General features: G+C 35.9%; 1 long non-coding RNA gene across 1 annotated transcript; it reads right to left on the bottom strand.

Moving 5' to 3' along the window:
* Positions 1-12,623: 12,623 nt before the first annotated feature.
* Positions 12,624-19,100, bottom strand: LOC105373284 (uncharacterized). The gene is made up of 2 exons (XR_007068280.1): positions 16,695-19,100; positions 12,624-15,612 (listed from the first exon to the last, which is right to left on the bottom strand). It is a non-coding gene; the product is annotated as an uncharacterized LOC105373284 (long non-coding RNA).
* Between the last annotated feature and the right edge of the window lie 5,265 nt (positions 19,101-24,365).

Genomic DNA, 24,365 nt, shown 5'->3' with positions numbered 1-24,365 from the left:
CCAAGAACTTGGAGGAGAGAGTAATAGGAACTGACTGTTAATGAGCATGGAGTTTATTTTTGGGGTAACCAAAATGTTCTGAAATTAGATAGTGGTGATGATTGCACAACTTTGTGACCATACTAAAAACAAATGAAACAAAAATGTACAAACAAACATTGTACATTTTAAAGTGAAACAGATGTAATTTATGGTGCGTGAATTATAAATCTGTTATTAAAAAATACTCTGGGCATCAGTAGCCAAAATTATACTATAAATAATAGTCTTGGCTGTGCCCAGTGGCTCATGCCTATAATCCCAACACTTTGAGGGGCAGAGGAGGGAGGATCCCTTGAGCCCAAGAGTTACAGACCAGCCTGGGCAACATGGTGAAAACCCCTGTCTACAAAAAATATTTTTTTCATTAGCCCAATGTGGTGGCACATGCCTGTAGTCCCAGCTACGCGGGAGGCTGAGGTGAGAGAATCACCTGTGCCAGGGAGGTTGAGGCTGCAGTGAGCCGTGAGCACCCCGTGCCACTGCACTCCAGCCTGGGCAACAGAGTGAGACCCTGTCTCAAAAAAAAATGTTGAGAATAATAGAAGCTGGCATAAGAAGCATATTTCCACCTATGAGCTTCATAGACTAGACTAGGGAGGTAAAGCATCACAGACAATAATACAGTCTTACTCCAGCTATGGTTTCTTAGAAAGGGTTCTGAGAACAGAATATCTGAAAAATGAGGGTGCATGCGTCCTTCTTTAGACTTAGAATCCTGGAAGACAGTAGCTTCCCTGCATCAACATGTTAACAGGGATGGAGGGAACTTCACATGGCACAGCATGATAAAGGGGTAGTTATATTTTCTCATACTACCAAAAAATGATGAAGTACAACAAGAGAGGGGATGGGAGAGAGAGGGAGAGAAAAAGAGAGAAATCCTGACGGGTTGTGATTTTGATTTTGAGAAGTAAATACTGCAGAGGGTGGGGGATTAGGTGAAGTGTAGTTTGGGCAAATAAAATATGTATTTGAAGCCATCTCAGCAGGTTCTAGCATAGGGGAAACATTAGCTAAAGAGAGATGGATTTCCACGCTTTAGCGGATGCCAGTATGGACAGACATTAATGACTAAGTGCCTCCTTGCAGATGCCATGATACTATTTGAGCAGCTGGAAATGTTTATGCCACACTGGGGAAAGAGGATGAGGTGAGGACAAGCTCTTGTTAGACTGAATTTGAGCCCTAAAATAACTGAGAAACCTTAAAGTTACTTGAGCTTACCCAGAATTGATTAATAGCAAATTTCAGCCACTAGGTGGACTCAAAACCCAAGGTTGAAATGAAGTTTGGTTATGGAAAAATAATGACTTTTGGAACACTTGAATAAATGGCTTACGAAAGTCAGTATTCCTGCGTAAATTCTACTAATATAGTAGAACAAATTTTAAAACTTTACTGTCAAATTTAAATGTGTAATCAAAAACTACTCATATTTTCTTCTTTCATGAATGAACTTCCAGTCCCTTATGCAAGTTTTATTTCTAGATAACAGAATCCAGGATTGGATAAGACTTCATAAAACACCTGGTCTCATGCACTCTCCTTAACTGTACCTACGCCCTCCCTGAATATCTTCAGTGACATAGAAATTCAGAATTCATAATGCAGCCCATCCTATTTTGGACTGTTCTAATTGTTCGAATATTTTTTTAATGATCCAAAATCTATCTTGAATGCCTATAAGCTGGTCCTAATTCTGGTATGATTAATTTATTTATTCCTTTGATAAATATGTAACAGACACCATGCTAGGCCTGGAAGTTGTAACAGGAAACAAGACAGGCATAGTGTAGAGGCTAAGACACACATTAAACACAGATCAAGCACCCTTATCTTTCCCTGGCTTACACAAAAGCTGTGGGTTATAAAGGAATTTAGGAGAAAGCGAATACAACAGACCACCTTTTCACAAGTAGTGCCTGTTTGTCAAGATAGTTATTGAAATAAATGGTTCATGAAATCTGAAATAGATGGGAAGGAAAGTGAAAATAGAAGGAGGCTACCATAAAGGAAAAAGTCAGAGGTATCAATGGACTAGAAGTCAAAGAACTATTATGGTAGGAGTGTTTGCATAAACACTCTGGAAGATAGGAGACTCTCATGAGAAAATAGGATGCTTGATGAAGATTAGCACATTTGGGGGTATCTTCAGTAACAACATCTCTGGAAGTTAGTCAGTACTACAGCATAATCTAACATCTTCATTTCCAACTGTTAAGGACTGAGTGTATCTCCCCCAAATTTATATGTTATAATTATACCCAATAATATGATATATTCAGAAGCAGAACTTTTGGGAGGTAATTAGAGTTAGATGAGGTCAGGTGGGTAGGGTCCTCATGATGTGATTAGTATCCTTATAAGAAGAGAGGGTGACCAGAGCTCTCTCCACCACATGAAGATACAATGAGAAGGTGGTAGTCTGAAAGCTAGGAAGAGGGCTTACTATGAACAGAATCTCTCACCTTGATCTCGGACTTCTCGCCCCCACAACTGTGAGAAAATATGTATCTGTTGTTTAAGCCATCCATCTATGTTATTTTATTATAGCAGCCCCAAAAGACTAAGACAGCAACCTAGAAACTGTTTTCTGGTGTACAAAGAAAATTGTAACCTCAAATATAATTTTCCATCATATGGATTAAATTAGTTATTTCTGGTAAATCACCTACAAATGTTGCTTGACACATAATAAGCACTCAATAGATGTTACATTATTGTTACTATCATTACTATTGTTATATTTACTTCAATCTCTAGAATGAGTTACAAGAAACTTAAGAACCTTTGGAATTTGCAGGAGGGAAAGAAAGTTAAAAAACTGCATGAATAATATTTTAACATTTGTACAGACTTTGCTGTTGGTTTACAAAGCACCTCCAAACACATTTTACATATATATATATATGTGCAGAGTATATATACATATTATATATTTTTATATATGCAGAGTATATATTTATCAATATATATGCATATATAATTTTCACAATATTCCTTTGAGGTATAAGTAGGAAAAGTAGTAACCTGATTTTACAGATGAGGCAGTGACTCCCAAAAGCTCTGATAATAGGCAATCTATAATGTGAGCCTGATTAATCTGACCTCACCTCTGATGTTCTTTTTTCTCTTCTGCCTCCCCTGATAATAATAGAGCGGAAAAAGAAACCTTAAAAAGCTAACTGGTCCAAGCTAGTCTAAGTTTAAATAGAGAGCAGGAAATCTAAAATAATTATTCAGAACTTTATCATTATTTTCTTGATTACTTTGTAAAATTCTCTTAGAGAAGCCTTCTTTCTGGCTTCTGTACCTGTTCCTCAGAACTGTGTTTTTCTGTCCTTTCCAACTGAGGAACTATTCCTATAATTAGTTGTTCTTTCCACACATGAGACTCCAACATCCTTTTCTTTCTCTTCTGCACTAGTCACTTCTTCCTAAAGGAAGACAACACTGCCTTACTCGTAGAAAATCAGCGCATAGTTTTATTTCTCTTCCATTATGCTTCTTTAACAAGTCTTGCACCATTTTGAATCAAATCCATTACAATTAGGTACGTTCCTTGTCTTATCTGTTTTAAGGGTATTAAGTATGTGATTTTGGGGGGATCATCCAAAAGTTTTGCATTGTGTCTAATAAATGCTAAAGATGAAGTCAGAAAACGGCTTGCCTGCTCAGGTTAAGCCTTTTATAGACTTTTCATAGGATACTTTTAATATTTATTCTAAGTGTGAAAAATTGTAAGAGCAAAGGACTCCCCATTCAATAAATGGTGCTGGGATAATTGGCTAGCCATATGCAGAAGATTGAAACCAGACCCCTACCTTACACTACATACAACAATCAATGCAAGATGGATTGAAGACTTAAATGTAAAACCTGAAATTGTAAAAATCCTTGGAGATAACCTAGGAAATATCAATCTGGATATAGAGCCTGGCAAAGATTTCATGATGAAGACACCAAAGCAATTGCAACAAAACAAAAATTGACAAACGTAATTTAATTAAAGAGCTTCTGCAAAGAAAAGAAACTATCAACAGCATAAACAGAAAACCTACACAGTGGCAGAAATTATTTGCAGACTGTGCATCCAACAAAGGTCTAATATCCAGAAACTATAAGGAACTTATACAAATTTACCAAAACCCCCCAAACCACCCCATTAACAAGTGGGCAAAGGACATGACCAGACACTTTTCAAAAGAAGACATACATGCGGCCAACAAGCATATGAAAAATTACTCCATATCACTAATCATTAGAGAAATACAAATCAAAGCCACAATGAGATACCATCTCACACCAGTCAGAATGACTATTATTAAAAAGTCAAAAAATGACAGATGTTGGAGAGATCGTGGAGAAAAGGGAACGCTTATTTTGTTGGTGGAAGTGTAAATTAGTTCAACCATTGTGGAAAGCGGCATGGCAATTCTTCAAAGAGCTACAAACAGAACTACCTTCCAACCCAGCAATCTCATTACTGGGTATATAACCAAAGTAATATAAATAATTCTATCATAAAGACACATGCACATGTACGTTTGCATCACTCTCCACAATAACAAAGACATAAAATCAGCCTAAATGTCCATCAACAGTAGACTAGATTAAGAAAATGTGGTACATATACACTACTGAATACTATGCAGCCATAAAAAAGAATGAGATCATTTCCTTGGCAGCAATATGGATAGAGCTGGAGGTCATGATCTTAAGCAAACTAATACAGAAAAAGAAAACCAATACTGCATGTTCTCACTTGTAAGTGGGAGCTAAACAATGAGAACACATGGATACTAGGAGAGAAACAACAGACACTGGGGCCCACTTGAGGGTGGTGGGTGGGAGGAGAGAGAGGATCACAAAAAAATTACCTACTGGTTATTACATTTATTACCTGAGTGATGAAATTATCTGTATACCAAATTCTCATGACACACAGTTTACCTACATAACAAACCTGCACATGTACTCTTGCACCTAAAATACATTTTTAAAAAAGCATAAAAATCACACCTGCATTTCCAAGTCACATTGCACTTCAACAGAGTCCAATCTTTCCCATGAAATACTGTATGAGAGATTCTGCAAAGCAAGGGTAGATGACCCTGTATCCATCTGTGTCCTTCAATATTGGGTCTCCCAATTCCTCACCTAGACCCCCAACCTCTTCAGGAAAAAAAAGTAATTGTCTTGAATTATTTTCTACTTGTTTAATGTTTCCTAATCTTATCTTCTCATTTAGAATATGCAACTCCCTCGAATAGGGGAACCCTTCTGTACCACTTACCTCCCTCAGGCTCCAACATTCATTGTTCATGGATACAGGTGAAAAGGAAAAAAAAGTTACCTTCAGCAAGTCATTTACTCTTTCTTACTCTACATTTCCTTATCTTTACAGTGAAGGAGCTAATCTAGGTCAGAAGTTCTTCACCAAATGTCTGTATTAGAAACCAGATAACTTTTCCAAGCCCAAACCTCAAAGTCAAGTTTAGTAGATCAGGGATGAGGCCAATAAAATTTATCTCAGAGAAATTTCTCATGTGTTTCTGAAGTAGATCCCATGTTGAGAAATGAGCTGTAAGAAATCTATCACTCTATAAACATGCTATTTTTCTGTAGAACATATAAACATTTATATCCCTTCCTGAGATTTTTATTTGTCTAGGGCTCTTCACACTGGCTAGTTTGGCCACTGCTCTGTATAAGTCAGCTATCAGTTCTCATAGTCTGGAACATCTAGATTACTAAATGTAACAAGTAATGAGATTTATTTTGTTATTCTTTGTTTGGATGTTAGCATTGCTGAAATGGATGTCCTATATATATTTATATATTAAAGAGCAGTCTTAATGGTCTGAAGTGGCAGGAGAGAAGAGAGAAAATGTTTAACTGTTTATTCAAACAAATAATGGGAGTCAGATTCATTTTTAATAGCTTTTCTTTCCTCTTAGGGAGATTCTATAGTCACTGCATTTTAGTATTTTTCCTATTCATTATATGAACTCTCAGTTGCTCATTTTGATTATTTCATCACCACTGCTCAGTCAGTAAAATTAAAACAATGGGAAAATGATAACATCCAATGTTGTTATTTCTCTTTGAAAACAATTCTCCCCTCTGCAAATAGAATAAATTTACAAAATACACAGTGTAACAACATTTATTCTTTTATTTTTTAATTTTAATTTTTTGGATACTTAGTAGGTGTACATATTTATGGTGTACATCAGATGCTTTGATATAGGCATGGAAAACATAATAATCGCATCATATGAAATACCTCAACATTTATTCTTAATGGATCTACGGATCCATTAAGAATAATGGATGGGATGGGAGATGTGAAATGATGAGTGACTGCCAGTGGTTATGTGACAACTGGTCCCTCTGGTGCTTGGAGGCCTGGAGCAGCAGTTTATGGCACCATTTGGAAGCAAGCTTTTCCACTATACAGAAGCCTGCAAAACATTTTTGGCATGCATGCCACAGGATAAACTTTCTTACAGCTGCCAGTGATAATGCTAATAATGATGTTGATGATCACAGTCATATTCTGTTCTCAAAATGATAAAGAAGCAGCATAGGTCTATGAAATCATCACATTGCTAGCATATAAACACCTGGTACTTCAATTTAAAAAGCAAAAAGAAAACTAGACTGGGAATCAGAAGACATAGGCACCAATGCCAGTTTGGTCACTCACTAACTCCTTGGGAAATTTCATTCCCTCTCTTTGGGGATCATTTTTTTCACCTATAAGAGTGTTATGTTAGACCAATAATATTCAAACTGTTATTTAAGGATTCCCCTCAATGGCTGCCTAAATGTGATAAGAGGGAGCAGAATCTTTATTCTTCCTCTTTCAATCAGAGGAACTCTACCTCTTCCAATGCCTGTTTTATGTATGGGCTACTTCGTGTTTGTGTGTGTGTGTGCGAGAGAAAGGAGAGAGAGGTTTAGTTTCCTGGATTTTTAAGAGTAAATTTATTCTAGAACATGGGACTTTATATCTGTGATGTCCTAGAACTCTACAGTATCTATGATTAGAAAACAAAGATCTTCCAAAGATTTTCATGATAAATACCTCCTTTATTTTGCTTCTATTAGATCTTTTGCTATTTCTTTCATACCCTCTACCCCCATCCTCCTGAGCTTCAAGTCATAACATGCCTAATGAATGGCACTAACACTGTTACCCCCATAGGGCTGACTTAAGACCTAAAAAGATTCAGGGTTATATAGGTAGTGGACTTTTGAGAAACTAGCATGGGAGACTCAAATTCTCATCCCACACCATTTCTGGCTGAAGCCTGAATGCCCTTTTCGGAGCACAGAACCTGTTGTTACACATGGAGAATTTAGGTTTATAAAGGCAGACCCTTCTGGGAGAAAGAACATTGACATAATCACACTCAATTAGAAATGACTTTTATCTGGGCATGAGCTTTTGATTATGGAAAAACTGAATTATTGAGCACCTCAAGTCACAGGATGGAACACATCTCAATTTCTTCATATATAACATGGGAATAATGATAAATATAATAAAATAACAATGACACTGATAATTTATTGAGTCTTCAAGGGGTTCCAATATCATATGAGACCCTTGACTTACACTACCCATTTTTTCCTCACCTTATAAGGTGAGTGAATTATCCTTACAAGGTAGTGAAGTATCTATTGCAATGGTAAAGTCTCTGTTATTTATAACTTTATTACTATTATTATTATTATTAGGTAAAGGATCTAGGATGGGGAAGCTAGAAGTCAAATTGTACCAATTATACAGTCCTGCTGTCATGCTTCCTTGACAGTATGGAGTCAGCTCTCTCTTTTACGTGATATCCTAATCTTTGCCAATATTACATTCAGTTAGAAAAATAAACTACTATAGCTACAGCATTTGCTGCTGAAACCTACCATAACTCTTCCACAAAGGTTCTCACCAGTCTCTCTACACTTTAGTGTAATAGAAAGTACTGTGAATTAAACTAAGTTTATGTTTCTCTCCTCCAGCATTTACAATATGATTTCTCATTACAAATCATCCAGCTTAAATTTCCTGCTCTATCAGAAATATTTATTTATTTATGTTCAGAAATGTTATTTTAAATCAAAATGCTATAAAGTTTCTCAAACATTTGGAAACAGCCAGAGAAATCTTTCTCTTCATATATCCCTGTAGAACACACAAGTCTGTCACTCCCAGCAGTAAACAGTAGCAGCTTGTGTGGACTCTCATCTCTTATTTTACTTTGAGGTGGTCCTATTAAGTAATCAGAAGGGATTTATTCAAAGTATTTTTTAGGTTGGCAAAAAATAAATGCTTCCCCCATCCCAACCTTGAACATGATGATTAATTAATTTGTTAGAATTGTGCTGATGTTTATCGAAAGGATTTATATTAGTAGAATATTTTACCACTTACCAAGTCTTCTCACCTCCCTTTAATTTTCATAAAATTCCTGTGATATAGTTGGGGCAAGTGTTGCTATCCTCATTTTCCAGATGAGGAGATTGAGACTGGGAGAAACAGTGTGTCTTGTCAGGCAGTTAGTGAGTGGCTGAGTTGCAACATTATTAAAACATAAATATTCTCATTATGCATTCTTTGCTCTTTCCAGCTCTCTTTCCACCTGTTTCATTACATGATTCAGTTGTGTAACAGGATTGAAACAGGGATGTCTCTACACACCTACCACAGGAAAAAAAAAATCTCTGGTAGACTATAGAGTCCCTAGAAGACAAATCTTTCTCCCAAGCTCTCCTTCAAGGTAATGCCTCTATAAATGGTACCTTGTATTTACAGCCTCCAGAATTATTGGTCTTTACCTCCTTCATTGGGTCCCTCAATTCTCCACCAACTGCCTTCAGGTTCTGCTCTACTACTCCCTATATTGCACATTCTCTCTGTTTTTTTAATAACCCTGGGAAAAGTATAGGGTAGTTTTTAAGGTAGGGTTGCCAGGATGCCCAGTTAAATTTGGACTTCAGATTAATAATGAAATAATGTTTTAGTATTAGTGTGTCCCAAATATTGCATGAGGACATACTTTATACTAAAATATAATTTGTCGATTATCTGAAATTCAAATTTAACCAAGTATCCTGTATTTTTATTTGATACATCTGGCAACCCTAGTTAAAAGCAGAGGTTCTGATGTCAAAATAACTTCATTTGAATACTCACCCTGATGAGCTGCATAATCTTGGACAAATTTTTAACTTTTCTCAATTTTAATTTCCTCCTGTCTAAAATAGGGGTAATAATATAATAAGGTTGTTGAAATAATTGAGATAATGTGAATAAAGCTCTTAGCAGAGTGCGTACCACATAATAGATACTCCAAATGGTAACTATTATTATCACTGAATGACAATGAATAATAGCAGCACGCTCCCTGCTAAATAGACAGGCATTTAATAGGTAATAAAATTTTCAGTTCATGGGCAAAGCTCATTCAGAAAACTTCACATAGACAGGTCTTCTGAGGGCATGGACACTTTTTTATAGTTGAGCCTTAAAGTATAAGTCCTCAGTGTTTGAAACAGAAATACCTTTCTTTATGAAGCACAATGCACTATCAGTAGTTTTTAAGTTTTAGTTGACATATAAAGCAGGAATAAATGCTCAGGATAATCAATATCCAGCATCCAAAATGTGGTCCTCTCAGATCACTTAATTTGGTCAACAGGTGTCAGGCAATATATAATTCCAAGTCAACCTGCATTTGTATAGTATATCAAGAAGCAAGTGATCTTAAAGAAGCACACAGCAATAAAGATTGAAAACAAAGCAAAAGAGAATCAAGAAAGGTGAGTAAGAGTGAGGAAGGTCCAGTCAAAGTTTGAGGTTCTGGAATAGGTCTTCAGTTACTTAGAAACTGTATGAAAAAAGTAGGGCCCAAGCCTAGGGATACTAGTGATACTGAGCAGGATTTTGAAACGGGAATCTCAATACTGAAGTACATACATGCAGAAATGAGACTCAAAATATTTAACAACTCATAGGGACAGGAAGTACCACAGGTAGTATTGGAGCTGAGTACTAGAGGCTCCATGTTTGTCTGTGTAGATGCTGGATCATGAGAAGATACAAAGGTCCAGAGGGCGGAGCCAGAGTTGCCAAGATTCTCATGATGGGAGGATTTGGAGGGTTGGGGCAGCAGCTTCATATCAGCTGCTATGGAAAGAATTCAACATGTTTAATGGCCATTAGAGCCACACTGTTGTACACCAGCAAAATAGCAGTCCTGGATACAAGATTCAGACTAGATTATGAACAGAACAAGCAGACAGAACTACCAGTGTGGAATGATCTAGAGCTGCGTGCTTGTACTTCTCATATCCCTAAAGTTGGATTGTGATGATTTACTATTGCTCTCTGCTTTTACATCATCTAGACTATAAGCTCAGTGAAAAACAGGAATTGCATCATTTTTGTTCACCATTTATTCCTATTACCTATCACAGTGCTCAGTAAGTATTTGTTTAATACATGAAGAGCCAATCAATTTTTCTTAATATATGGTGTGTTCTGAAGATATTTCTACATGAAAGACAGAAAGATCTGAGAACTCCTTTTTGGTTTTCAACTGGCCTTGGAGATCTGCTACAGACACAAGCTGGTCCCATATCATTAAAACCGTTATAATATCAATTTCTAAGCTTCTCTTAAGCAGAAGACTACAAGGGTGTTATACAATTACAAGACTTCCTTAAAGTAAAGCTGAACCCTTAAATGAAAGAGGTAGAACCACACAAGTCCCTGGGATCCTGAGTTGTTAAATTTTTTCAATTCTATTCAAAATCTATTTAGCAGAAATGGGTTCAGTTTACAATTATTAGCATACATAGGCTGGGCGTGGTGGTTAACGCCTGTAACCCCAGCACTTTGGGAGGCTGAGGCGGGCGGATCACTTGAGGCCAGGAGTTCGAGACCAGCCTGGCCAACATGATGAAACCCCTTCTACCCAAAAAATTAAAAAAAGGAAAGAAAGAAAGAAAGAAAAGAAAAAAAGAAAAAAGAAAAGAAAAGAAAAGCCAAGCCAGGCATGGTGGTGGGTGCCTGTAATCCCAGCTACTCGGGAGGCTGAGAGATGAGAATTGCTTGAACCCGAGAGGTGGAGGTTGCAGTGAGCCGAGATTGCACCACTTAACTTCAGCCTGGGAGACAGAGTGAGACTTCATCTCAAAAAAAAGAAAAAAAAACATAAATAGTATATTCAGGAAAAGACTTTGGTCACTTTCAGATAAAACCAAGGTCTTTCACAATTTATTTTTCTCGTAATAAACTGCCTCCACTCATTTGGGGAAATAGAACCAGAACTATAGAGAAATTTTGTAAGCTACAAGTTTCTCAGCTTTAAATAGAAATAGCAGAACAATTCAAAGACAGCTTCCCACAACAATGATTCAGTATTTTTTAAGTTGCAGTCAATATACCTTAATTTGTTTCACATCACTTTACAGATATGATCTTCAATATAATTATTTAGAGGCTATTTCATAAAACTCCAAGTGATGGTGTGTATTTATACCCTAACAAATACTGAACCAATATGTAATAATAAGGCCATTTTTACAAATTTACTAGACCTTGAGGAAAAGAACATAACAATGTAACTGAGGACCAAAAGCTCCAAATTGCCCCTAGGTAATAAAAGGACACCTAGCTTAATTTTAACACTGTGATAACTATTTTGCTTTCAAATTATTATTTCATTTTTTCATGGATTTTCACACATACATAGTTGACTGGCTAAATTTCCATGCAAGTGACTAGTTATGAAAACATTAAACTACATTTAATTTGATTTAATAGATATCTGTTGATATTAATTTGTTGATTTCTTTCTGCATTGACTAAAAAAAATCATTCCTTTAACTACACAATTATTCCAGTTTATCAGTTTATCCTACACACTAATTCTCATCAAGTCACCTCTCCACCCTTCATCCACACATACATTACGTAATAATGCTAAGTTAGCCATTTACCTCTTCAAAGTAAACTATCTTAAAAAATATATTCCTTTAATTTTTTAACAGGAAAATAATTTCGTGGTATTAGATACTTCCATCCCCAAAGCAGGAACTATTTACTTTGTTTCTCCATTTCCAAAAACAAGTTTTAGTAAGACCCAGAAAGTCTGCTTACAACCTTGAATGGACCATCACAGTGTTAGGTCCAGTCTTAATAACCTCGGGGAGACTGGCTTCTTTTGAGGACTAACCTATAAGACAAAATGAGCCTGAAAATTCCAGGAGTACAGTATAGACTGTATCTCTTAAATAGGTGTTGGTGTTTAAAGGACACTCTTGACAGAAAACTTCCTGAGACTTGGTCAAATCTACTTTGGGACCCACAATAGTGACCTGAAATCCAAAGACGGGATGTAAATTAAACTGATCTATATAAGCAGGGAGCAACATTGTATTCAGCATCCTTCATAAACTCCTTGACTTTTTTTCCTACCAGAAAACATGATGATCCTCCCCAACGACTGAATCATTTACATTTTGTATATTCATAGAAGCACAAAACGAATACTTTCAACTTCTGCAAATGTGAGACAAAAAGAAATTTATTATTCCATACATTTCAAAAAATGTTTTGAAAGGGAACATTATGGTCATATAAATAATACCGATGGTGAACAACAGAATGAAGAATGACTACTTAAAGCCAAACTATGCTAAATCACAACGTCATATGCATATTTCATTCAAGCACTGAAGTCAGTAGGTATGAGGTCAGGATAAAACGTAACACCAAATTCATCATCTTTCCTTACTTAAGAATTGCATTATATTTTTAAACCATTTTAACCATAAGTGAGTATCTTTAGATGATAAATATTTTGATGACACAGATAAAGAGGGGGAAATTTTAAATATGAGAGCGTAATTAAATGCATTTATAAATTTGATATATACTAAATACTGTGGTTTTGTATATGATACTATGTAATTTCAACACTTTATGAATATATCTGTTTCATAAAATATTAATACATATTACTGGACCTAAGAAAACAATCCACACTAGTAATACTGTCCCATGATATTTAATTCACTTTTGTAAATGTTAACATTAATATTTCATAATTTTAGTAACTCTCCTATTAAAATGCCGAAATTTAACAGCATAAAAGACAATATACATACAACTTTTTTTCAATATCTAAAGATACTGAGTTACTTTAAACTCTTACTCATTGTCTCTTCAGAATCAAATGTCTGAATGATAAACATTAATTGGTATGGTTATGGTAGAGGATGGTGTGGAAGGGAGCAATAAAGAGAAAAACAGAAGACAAATCAGGGGTACTTACTATTATTAGATCATATACATTTGAAGAGGGTGAAAATAAACGAAGTATTGTGTGATCATAAAAAACGAGCTATTAGGGCATTACAGTGACTCATTCTACAAGAGTTAATCAAAGACCCAAGAAAAAATTGGAAGGGATGGAAGGGAATATATGATTGTCAATGCACAAATCTTATTAATGCATAATGCAATTGTAAGAATTCTATAACAGAAATTAATACCATTTTATTTTACAACACAGAAGTGCATGTCTATCATTTTCCTATTTCTATTAAAAGTATGGAGTCTTCTTTCCAAGTCTGCAATAAATTATACTGTTACTTTAGATATATTTTGTTAATTTATTTAATTTGGATCCGAAAATTTCCATAATAAACTACTGCCAGGATCATGATTGAGGATAATCTGATGTGTAATAAGTTGCTGAGAACCTTTTTATTTCTAAATGGTGGTTCTCTACTTTCTTCACTCTACCTGTGTGTTTTTTTTCCTCCCATCTCTAAAAACAACCAGAGATAACAGTGATATAAAACAGTTAATGCTCGTTCCAGGAAAGTTCCAAAGCACCAAGTTTCAATATAAATGGTACTTACAAATTTTCCATTTTTCCTTAAGCCCTCCCTCCATGTTTCTTTCAAACATCATTTAAATTTGACTTTTGTTTAAAGTATTTCCTTTTATATGTCCCCATACTCAATCTTGATATATAGATATCCACATATAGATATCCAGATATAGATATCCACATATAGATATCCAGATATAGATATCCACATATAGATATCCAGATATAGATATCCATATCCATAACTACATATCATAATTTCCCCTAGACTATTTTGATTGTCAGTATAAATGCGTTTTTGTGGGGAAATAAATGTCCCTCTCTGATATACCTTCTCATGGTCCTTCAGTATCTTGGAGCAATAATCCACTCCTCATCCCATTTTTGTTGTAAATAAAGCTGTGCGACACTGAGGTAATTGATTTGGGGTGCCAGTGACAATTAAATAGGTAAACGCATACAGAGTTTAGTTTGGCAACTATTAAAATATCAACACATTAAGAACTTGCACTCTAAAACGTAGTTACTATAGTTGTCTCCTATAAGAATTCAGATGTACCATGGGTCAAATCATTTCTCAAAAACTATAATAACCACACCCCAAAGAAGGCTAGATGTGACATGATAAGCTAGAAAAAACTCTTGTTATTGCAGTCTCTTAAGTCTGTCCAAACAACCTACATTTGTTATCTACTGTAGATGTGATAGAAGTTCCCTACTTGTCTGGTTCGATATTTGTAAGTCAGGGGTACTGAATTAAGAACTCTTTCCACTCTTTCCATGAGAAATGTTACACAGATTACATAGTGGTAGAGTGTAGGGCAGCTTCCTGAGCTTTCCATAACTCAATGTTCTGCTCTTGAGAGATTTGAAAGCTGATGTAATTTACATTATTCATTAGCAAATTGGAAGCCATAAGATTGGTTACAGAGTGGCATCTGGTGAGATTTTCTTCCAATAATTGTTTGCAGAGCTAGTCCACCTTTCTTTCCATATAAGTATTAAGCATAGAATTAGAGAGGGGCTGTTTATGAAACAACATACTTTTTTCTTGGCTTTCATCCCCATTCAATAATTTTGAGGTAGGTAATGTCTCTAGAGGCCCAATGACAGGAGAATGACCCAGTGGCCTACCAACTGAAAACAAAAGGGGACCATTAAAAACATCATTATGTGTGTGTTCCGTAAAGCAGCCTGAATCACACATGTTCCTCACATCGTCACCTCCAATCTGTAGGTCAGAATAATTGTGACAAATACTCATACACAACCAGGATCTATATAAATCTAGTTGTCTTTGATCATGTTTTTCTCTCTTTGAAATGGGCAACGCAACTGACACATTTCCTGGAAGAGGTAATACCTTTGCATTTTGCTACAGTTGTCTCATCCACAGATTTTATTTGATCTGTATCATCATTTTGCTCTGTTACACTTTCTTTCCTAGTTGTTTCTTGATTTTCCATCTTAGCAGAGGAAAGTGAATTTTCTTCTCTATCTAAAATCTTCTTTTTCCAAGTTTCCTTTTCAGTCTTCTTACATGTAAATGGTTTGCAAAATTTTGCATATTTCTGTTCTTTGTACAGAAGATCAATTAGGAAAGCTTCTCTAAGCATTTTGTTAGACAAGTTTTACAAAGTAAGTTTCTAGTATATTCCTGTAATATAAAATAACTCATTAAGGCAATGTACATTAAAAATGTCAAATAAGTATTTAACTCCTACGTGAAATAAAAGTAATTTAGGGAAGCCGTGTTGCTCAAAGTTTAGGAAATAGGACCAGGAATAACTAAACCTGGGTTTCCGTTCTGCAATGAACTTTTAACATAAGCTAATTTATTTAACATTTTGCGGTCTCAAATTTTTCAGCAGTTAAATGATGATACTGCACACATCATTTAATGAATCTTCACGGGACTATTGTCAGTGTAATATTATATGGTGCACATGCAAGTGTTAGAAGTACAAACATACAAATGTATAATTATTATATTCAACTATCTTTAAGGGTTTATTTAGAAATGATAAACTTTCTATCTTCAAAGAGTCTACTTAAAATGAAGGCAGCTGTCAAGGAATTGGTTTTAACTATCCTTTTTAATTAATGTCATTTGAGTCATAGATTGAAGTAAATTACTATACCTTAGAATGTATATAAGATGTGGAAATTTATATACAGTTTGGACTCCTGCAAATTTGTTGATTGAAAACATAAATACAGCCACTTTACTTTTTGAATAATGTAAGTGAATAGTTATCATTTCGGTGGTGAGAGCTATGTGAGATAATGCATTTGTTAATTAGCTAGATTTAACCACTCCAAAATGTTGTACATAATAAAAACATACAATGTTATTTGTGAATTTAAAAAATAATGTAAATGTAAATAGGTTTCTCAACTTCATTATCAATCTTTTTTTCTTTTTCTTTCCCTTTCCCTCCCTCCACTCCTCCTCACTTTCTTCTCTTCTCTTGTTTTGTATTAAAATCTTACTTAGCACTTATTGCAGACTTTTGTGTGGCTCTTTAGTGCAATTGGCAATCTTTACACCTCCAATTTTCTCAACATTACAAAAGCATGAAAGAAAAAAGCATACTTGATTCAAGATACAATTTTCCTCTTATAAGACAACACTGTTTGTTATAACTGTTTCCAGGAAATGCACTTATATTCATATTTACAGCCTTCTGTGAAGAAAATCAAAAAAAAGAACCAAAATATGTAAGATTTTAGACTTACCTTTTTGAAATATCAGGATACCTAAAGATTTGTTTTTCTGAGACTCCAACAGTAAAAACACAGAAGATGTCCTGTTTGGCTCATTTAGTTCTCATATTTCGTTTACTCTTCAAAAATAAAGCTTTAACCACACAAATTGTTCTGCTTTCCACTCACACCCTGGGATTGAACCAAACTAATAAGAAAATGACATGGATTGATCACATGTTCGGTATGGTAGTGATCCAAAAGAGGATCTTGAAAATGTTTATTCAAGTTTTCAGTAACAATGAGAATGGGAAAATGTTAATAGCACTAGCTTTTTTTCATACAAGTTAAGGCAGAGACAAGGTTATTTTAATTTTTAAAAAATATTTATAGATTCATGGGGTACATGTGCAGGTTTGTTACATGGATATATTGTGCAGTGGTGGAGTTTAGGCTTCTAGCATACCCATCACCTGAAAAGTGAGCATTGTACCCAACAGGTAATTTTTCAACCCTCATCCCCCTCCCAACCTGCCCCCTTCTGTAGTCTCCAGTGTCTATTATTTTCCTCCGTATGCTCATTTATACCCATTTAGCTCCCACTTGTAAGTGGGAAAGTGTGGTATTTTGTTTTCTCTTTCTAAGTTATTTCACTTAGGATAATGGCCTCAAACTCCATTCATGCTGCTGCAAAAGACATGATTTCACTCTTATTTTATGGCTGGGTAGTATTCTATTGTGTGTATATACCATATTTTCTTTATCCAATCATCTACTGATGGACACTCAAATTGATTCCATGACTTTTCTATTGTGAATAGTGCTGTGATAAACACACAAGTACAGGTGTTTTTTTTTACATAACAATTTATTTTTCTTCTGATAGGTACCCAGCAGTGGGTCTAATGGGTCAAATGGTAATTCCATCTTTAGTTAAAGTATGGATACCAGAATATTTTGTAACAATGAATATTTAGAAGTAATCTAAATGACCATCAACTACGAATTGTTAAATTAATTATAATATATCTATAACATGAAATAATAAACTGAGTGCTTTCAATGACATAATAATAATAAGCATCTACAGAGTAATTACTACATGTCAGTCATTCTAAATGTCCTATATATAGTACTTAATTTAGAGCTAAAGCTACTACCCCCATTTTACAGAGAAAACAAAGGAAGTTTATATACTTCCTGACAGGCATAAAGCTAGTAAATGATAGAACTAGGATTTGCACCTGATAATTGGATTCAGAACCAGAATCCATGCTCTTAATGGCTACACTACATTTCCCCTATGTGTACAGAATACAAGTTGTGAAACAATATATGCATCATGATTCCATGATGAATTGTGTGCACTATATGCCAGGCACTATTCTAAATACTTCACACATGCTAAAGACATCCTCATAACATGTCTATGAAGCGCTTAATATCCCCATTTTACCTATGAGGAAACCCAGGCACAGAGACATTAGATAACATCACCAATATCACACAACATTAAGTAACAGAATCTGGGTTTTAACCCAGGAAGCCCAGCTTCAAAGAAAGCATGGTTAACTTCTTTGTTAAACTGACTTTTTCTCCCTTTTAGTTACCTTAATATGTGTAACCATGTTGGCGGAAAAGGATACAAATCAAATTCTTAATAGTAGCTTCCTCTGGAGGGACAGTGGTAGGCGGTAACTGAAGGAATATTTTCACATTTTACTCTATATATTTACACATGGTTTGAATTCTTGTACAAATGAGCATGTATTCACGTATTACTTGAATAATAATAAAACATTTACACACACAAAAGAAGAAGAAAAATCTTTACTACCCTCTTTATAATGTATTTTCCTCAGCCTCACAAATGTCTTACCTGTTTTTTAGAAGGATTTTTACACCCAGATGCAAACTGCCAAAGTAGACTAGGCAGCATAAGCAAAATATCTATGTAGTTCACATTTTTATCGACAATTATCAATACAGCTTTTGTTTTACAGTTTTACCATTATAAATGATTATCACAAACATACTATAGAGTAGGTTATAATTTTGTATGCCATAGTAACCTAATTATTTTAGGTTGTCAAAGATACACTCTTGTAAGAAGTAGTGCACTAATTTAGCTTAGAGTCAAGGGAATGGCTCACAGTGAAATGAGGAGGCATGTCACAATCCTACACTGGAAACATAATGAAACCTATTTAAAAAAAAAAAGAAGAAGAAGAAAAAGAGAGAGAAAAGAGCAACCCAACCCGAAAGTTAGCAGAAGACAAAATAAATAACCAAAATCAGAGCTAAATTGAAGAAAAATGAGAAGAAAAACCATACAAAAGGTCAACGAATCCAGGAGTTTGTTCCTTGGAAGAAATTAGACTGCTAGCTAGACTAATAAAAAAAAGAGAAAAACACAATCAGAATGACAAAGGGGACATTACCAATGATAACCCAGAAATAGAAAAAAAAAAAAAACACCCTCGGAGACTACTATGAATACCTCTATGCACAAAAGCCAGAAAACTTAGAAGAAATAAATTCCTGGCAACATACAACATGTTGAGATTTAACCAGGAAGAGATTGAATCCCTGAACAGACCAATAACAAGTTCTGAAATTGAATCAGTAATAAAAAGCACACCAACCAAAAAAAGCCCAGGACCAAAAACGCAGCTGAATTCTACCAGGTGCATAAAAAAGAGCTGGTACCATTCCTACTGAAAATACTTCAAAAACAATGATGGGGATGGACTCCTCCCTGACTCATGATGCCACCGTGATGTTGATACCAAAACCTTGCAGAGACACACACAAAAAAAGAAAGTTTCAAGGCAATATCCTTGATGAACATAGATGCAAACATCCTCAACAAAATACTGTTAATATTATAGTAAACAAAGTCCAGCAACACATCAAAAAGCTAATCCACCATCATCCCTAAAATGCAAGGTTGATTCAACATACACAAATCAATAAATGTGATTCACCACATAAACAGAACTAAAAGTAAAAACCACATGATCATCTCAGTAGATGCAGAAAAGGTCTTCCGTAAAATTCAATATTTATTCATGTTAAACACCCTCAACAAACTAGGCATTGAAGGAAAATACTTCAAAATAATAAGCACCATCTATGAAACACCATAGCCAGCATCGTACTGAATGGGTAAAAGCTGGAAGCATTCCCACTGAAAACTGGAACAAGACAAGGATACGCTCTCTCTCTAGTCCTATTCAACATTGTACTGGAAGTCCTGGCCTGAGTAATTAGGCAAGAGCCAGAAATAAAAGGCATCCAGTTGGGAAGAGTGGAAGGCAAATTTTCCCTGTTTGCAGACAATATGATTCTATAGCTAGAAAACCCTATAGTCTCTGCCCAAAAGCTCCTTGATCTATCTGATAAACAACTTCAGCAAAGTTTCAGGACACAAAATCAATGTACAAAAATCAGTAGCATCCCTATAAACCAACAACATCCAAGCTGGGAACTAAATTAAGAATGCAATCCCATTCAAAATAGCCACAAAAAGAATAAAATACTCAAGAATATAGCTAACCAAGGAGGTGAAAAACCTCTACAGCAAGAATTACAAAATACTGCTTAATGAAATCAGAGATGGCACAAACAAATGGAAAAACATTCCATGATCATAGGTAGGGAGAATTAATATTGTTAAAATGGCCATAGTGCCCAAAGCAATTTACACATTCAATGCTATTCCTATGAAACTACCAAGTCAATGCTATTCCTATCAAACACAAATTTCATTACAGAATTAGAAAACTCTAATTTAAAATTCATTTGGAACCAAAGAAGAGCCCGAATAGCCAAGGCAACCCTAAGCTAAAAGAACAAAGCTGGAGGCATCACATTATCTGACTTCAAACTATACTAAAAGTCTACAGTAACCAAAATAGCATGATATTGGTACAAAAAAAAAAGACACATAGGCTAATGGAACAGAATAGAGACTCCAGAAATAATGCCAGCCACCTACAACCATCTGATCTTCAACAAAATTGACAAAAACAAGCAATGGGGAAAGGACTCCCTATTGAATAAATGGTGCTGGAACAACTGGCTACCCATCTGCAGAAGACTGAAACTGAAGCCCTTCCTTACACCATATACAAAAATTATCTCAAGATGGATTAAACACTTAAATGTAAAACCTAAAACTATAAGAATTCTGGGGGATAACCTGGGAAACACCATTCTGGACAAAGGACCTGGAAAAGATTTTATGACCAAGATGCCAAAAGCAATTGCAACAGAAACACAAATTGACAATTGGAACCTAAATAAACTAAAGAGCTTCTGCACAGCAAAAGAAACTATCAACAGAGTAAACAGACAATCTATTAAATGGGAGAAAATATTAGCAAATTATGCACCCAACAAAGGTCTAATATCCAGAATCTATAAGGAACTTAAAGTAACATGCATAAAAAAAACAACCCTATCAAAAAGCAGGCAAGGGATGCAGACATTTTTCAAAATAAGGTATAGACCCAGCCAACACGCATATGACAAAATTTTCAGTATCACTAATTATTAGAGAAGTGCGAATCAAATTCAAAATGAGATTCCATCTCACACCAGTCAGAATTGCTATTGTTATTATTATTTTTTTTATTTTTTTTTAGGTTCTGGGATACATGTGCAGAATGTGCAGGTTTGTTACATAGGTAAATGTGTGTCACAGTGGTTTGCTGCACCTATCAATCCATCACCTACGTATTAAGCTCCACATGCATTAGCTGTTTGTCCTGCTGCTCACCTCCCTCTGCCCCCTGACAGGCCCCAGTTCGTGTTGTTCCCCTCCCTGTGTCAATGTGTTCTCGTTGTTCAGCTCCCACTTATGAGTGAGAGTATATGGTGCTTGGTTTTGTTTTCCTGTGTTACTTTGCTGAGGATGATGCCTTCCAGCTCCAAAAGACATAATCTCATTCATTTTTATGGCTGCATAGTATTCCATGGTGTATATGTACCACATTTTCTTTGTCCAGTCTATCATTAATGGGTTTTGGGTTGATTCCATATCTTTGCTATTGTGAATAGTGCTGCAATAGACATATGTGTGCATATATCTTTATAACAGAATGATTTATATTCATTTGGGGATATACCCAGTAATTGGATTGCTCGGTCAAATGGTATTTCTGGTTCAGGATCCTAGAGGAATCACCATACTGTCTTCCACAATGGTTGAACTAATTTACATTCCCACCAACAGTGTAAAAGCTCAGAATGGCTATTATTAAAAAGTCAAAAAATGACAGATGCTGGTGAGGTGTTGGGAAAATGGAACACTTTTTGCTTCTAACATAGACTCCTTTATGTTATATCCCACCTCTTTTGCCGTCCTCACCCCTACCTCCAGCTCAATCAGTTGTAGCAATGCCCTGTCCTCAGAATATCTGCCTTTTCACTTCTCTCATGACTTTTGGTTCTTAGATTTTTGTAGTTGCTTCCAACCTTGCCTCTTTCCAATCCAATTGCCATCCTAGATTGGTCTACCTTTCTCACAAACCTTCTGAAATCTTCAATGGCTTCTGATCACCCATCATTTAATAATAAGCATAGACACAATTTATTGAGTGTCTCATAAGTGAAAGATGTTCTTAGGAAACTTCTATGCTTAATCTTCGCAGCAAATCTGCCAGTTGGGATTATCCACAATTTTAAAAAACAGAAAATACCCTCCAATGATTAAAAATCAAAATACAACATGAAAGCTGAACCCCTCTGTGATTTGCCTTGTTTACTTCCTCAGCCTCCATCTTTTCCTCCACTTGCTCCCAAAGCTCCAATTACCACATTGCTTCATTATCGGTCCTTCTACCTGAAATGTTTTCCTTCTCATAATTTCCTGGCAGAGTATATACATCCATCAGGTTTCAGTGCTTTAAAGATACATGCCTTAACCCACCTAGCCTGGTTTTGATTTCTCTTAATTGTATTTACTTCATCTTACCAGTTATCACTCTGTGAGTTCCTTGAAGGTAAACACTTTGTCTTATTCATGCATGTGTTCCCAAGCAATATGGAGAGTGTGGCACTTATTATCATAAACAAAACTTATTATCATTTTCTGCACTACCTACAATGTGTCAGACAGTTTACCAAACACTTTTATGTACTCAATTATTTTAATCCTCACAATGATGCTTTTAGGTTGGTATCACTGCCCTCTTTTTAACAATAAAGAAACTGACACTGGAGAAAGTAATTTACCTGAGACTCATAGTTATTAAGTGGTAGAGCCATAGATTCTAACTGTGCCTAACTCAAACGTTTGGAGTTGAGGTTCTTTGGCCCTTCACTCTCAATTTCCATTCCCCACATTTGGCAAACTGCCCAAATCCTGTAAATATTGTTCCTATTTTCCACTACCTTACAAGGTTACAATAAAAAATAAAGGCTGAAAAAATGAGATATGAACGTATTGAAGAGGAAGCAAGCATTTAAGACAGAGGTCCCTTTTATACAGGAAAAAGGAAGAGGAAGTGTAGGACAGGCAGGGACAATTGAACCCGCTATTTCAGAAACCAAAAGGTCAACTCCCAGAAGGAAAGGGCAGCTTACAAAGCACGCCCTCAAGAAGGGAGGAGGACTGGAGAATGGAGGCATTTCCCTGTGCTAAGAGATAACAAAAGTTGATAAAGTGGTCATGTCCTGACAGGCACCTTTTGCTCTGTCCCTACAAGCACAAGCAACGTGATTTTTATTTATCTTTTCTTCACTGATTACATTTTATTTTGGCCATTTTCTCCCTCAGGTATCTAGGTCTTTCAAGCGTGGCTGCAGTTGACAGCAGGAAAGTTCATGTTCTCCTCCATTCCCAAGCATGGAGGGGGAGAAAAGGCAGCAGGATTGCAGATTCAATTTGCTCTTCCCTCTCCCCCTCCCCTGAGCCTCGCAGATGAGACAATAGAAGAGGACTTACCTGTAGTTTATCATCCCTAGGTGTCCAGACCACTCCCCCAAGCCAGTGGGGATTCCACTTCCTCTTCACCAGCATTCCCTGGAATGGACCCTTGCCTAGGCTACAGAGGCACTTGTTTCCCAGCCAATGGTGAGTGCATGGGCCGCTGGCCCTTACCAATGGCCAAGGATAAGGGCAGGGCGGGGTATGGGAGTTGAGCCTGAAGCAGCGGTGAAGAGGCTGACCCTGTGTTGCTTCTGCAAAGTAGACTCAGTGGAAACAATGAGTTCCATTAAAGTCTATTACACCAGCATGTCAGGCTCTAGGGAGGTGAGTGGGAAGAAAAGAACCTCAGCCAGTGGGGTGGGGATAGTGGGTAGGAGTGAAGACTTAAGATTGTGCTAAGACATTATCAGCCCGTTTCTGCCTTCTATTCTTCAACTCTAAGTTTTCAAAGGTGGGAGGTGCAAGGAAAACAGAGAAAGTGATTATTGCCCTCACTTAGGTTGTGCTCTTAGAATGGAATGATCCGGGAGGTTTCAGTATTCTGAGCTCAACCATCTTAAGGTCCTCCAATAATTTTGCAGATGTTTCAAATGGAAGAAGTAAAAAATCCTGTTTAGTACAGAAGAGGAAAAATGTCAGTGAGTGAATGGCCAAAATCATCCAAGAAGTCAAGGCAACCTAAAAGAAGGGCAAACTGGTTGTTGATTTCTAAGAAGCAATTGTATTTGCATAGATGAGACATTTCTTAGATGAATTAAAGTTTAGAT

Source organism: Homo sapiens, chromosome X (genome assembly GCF_000001405.40).
Source record: "Homo sapiens chromosome X, GRCh38.p14 Primary Assembly".
NCBI lineage: Eukaryota > Metazoa > Chordata > Mammalia > Primates > Hominidae > Homo > Homo sapiens.
Note: the sequence above shows the minus strand (reverse complement) of the source record. Positions and strands in the feature narration are given on the sequence as shown.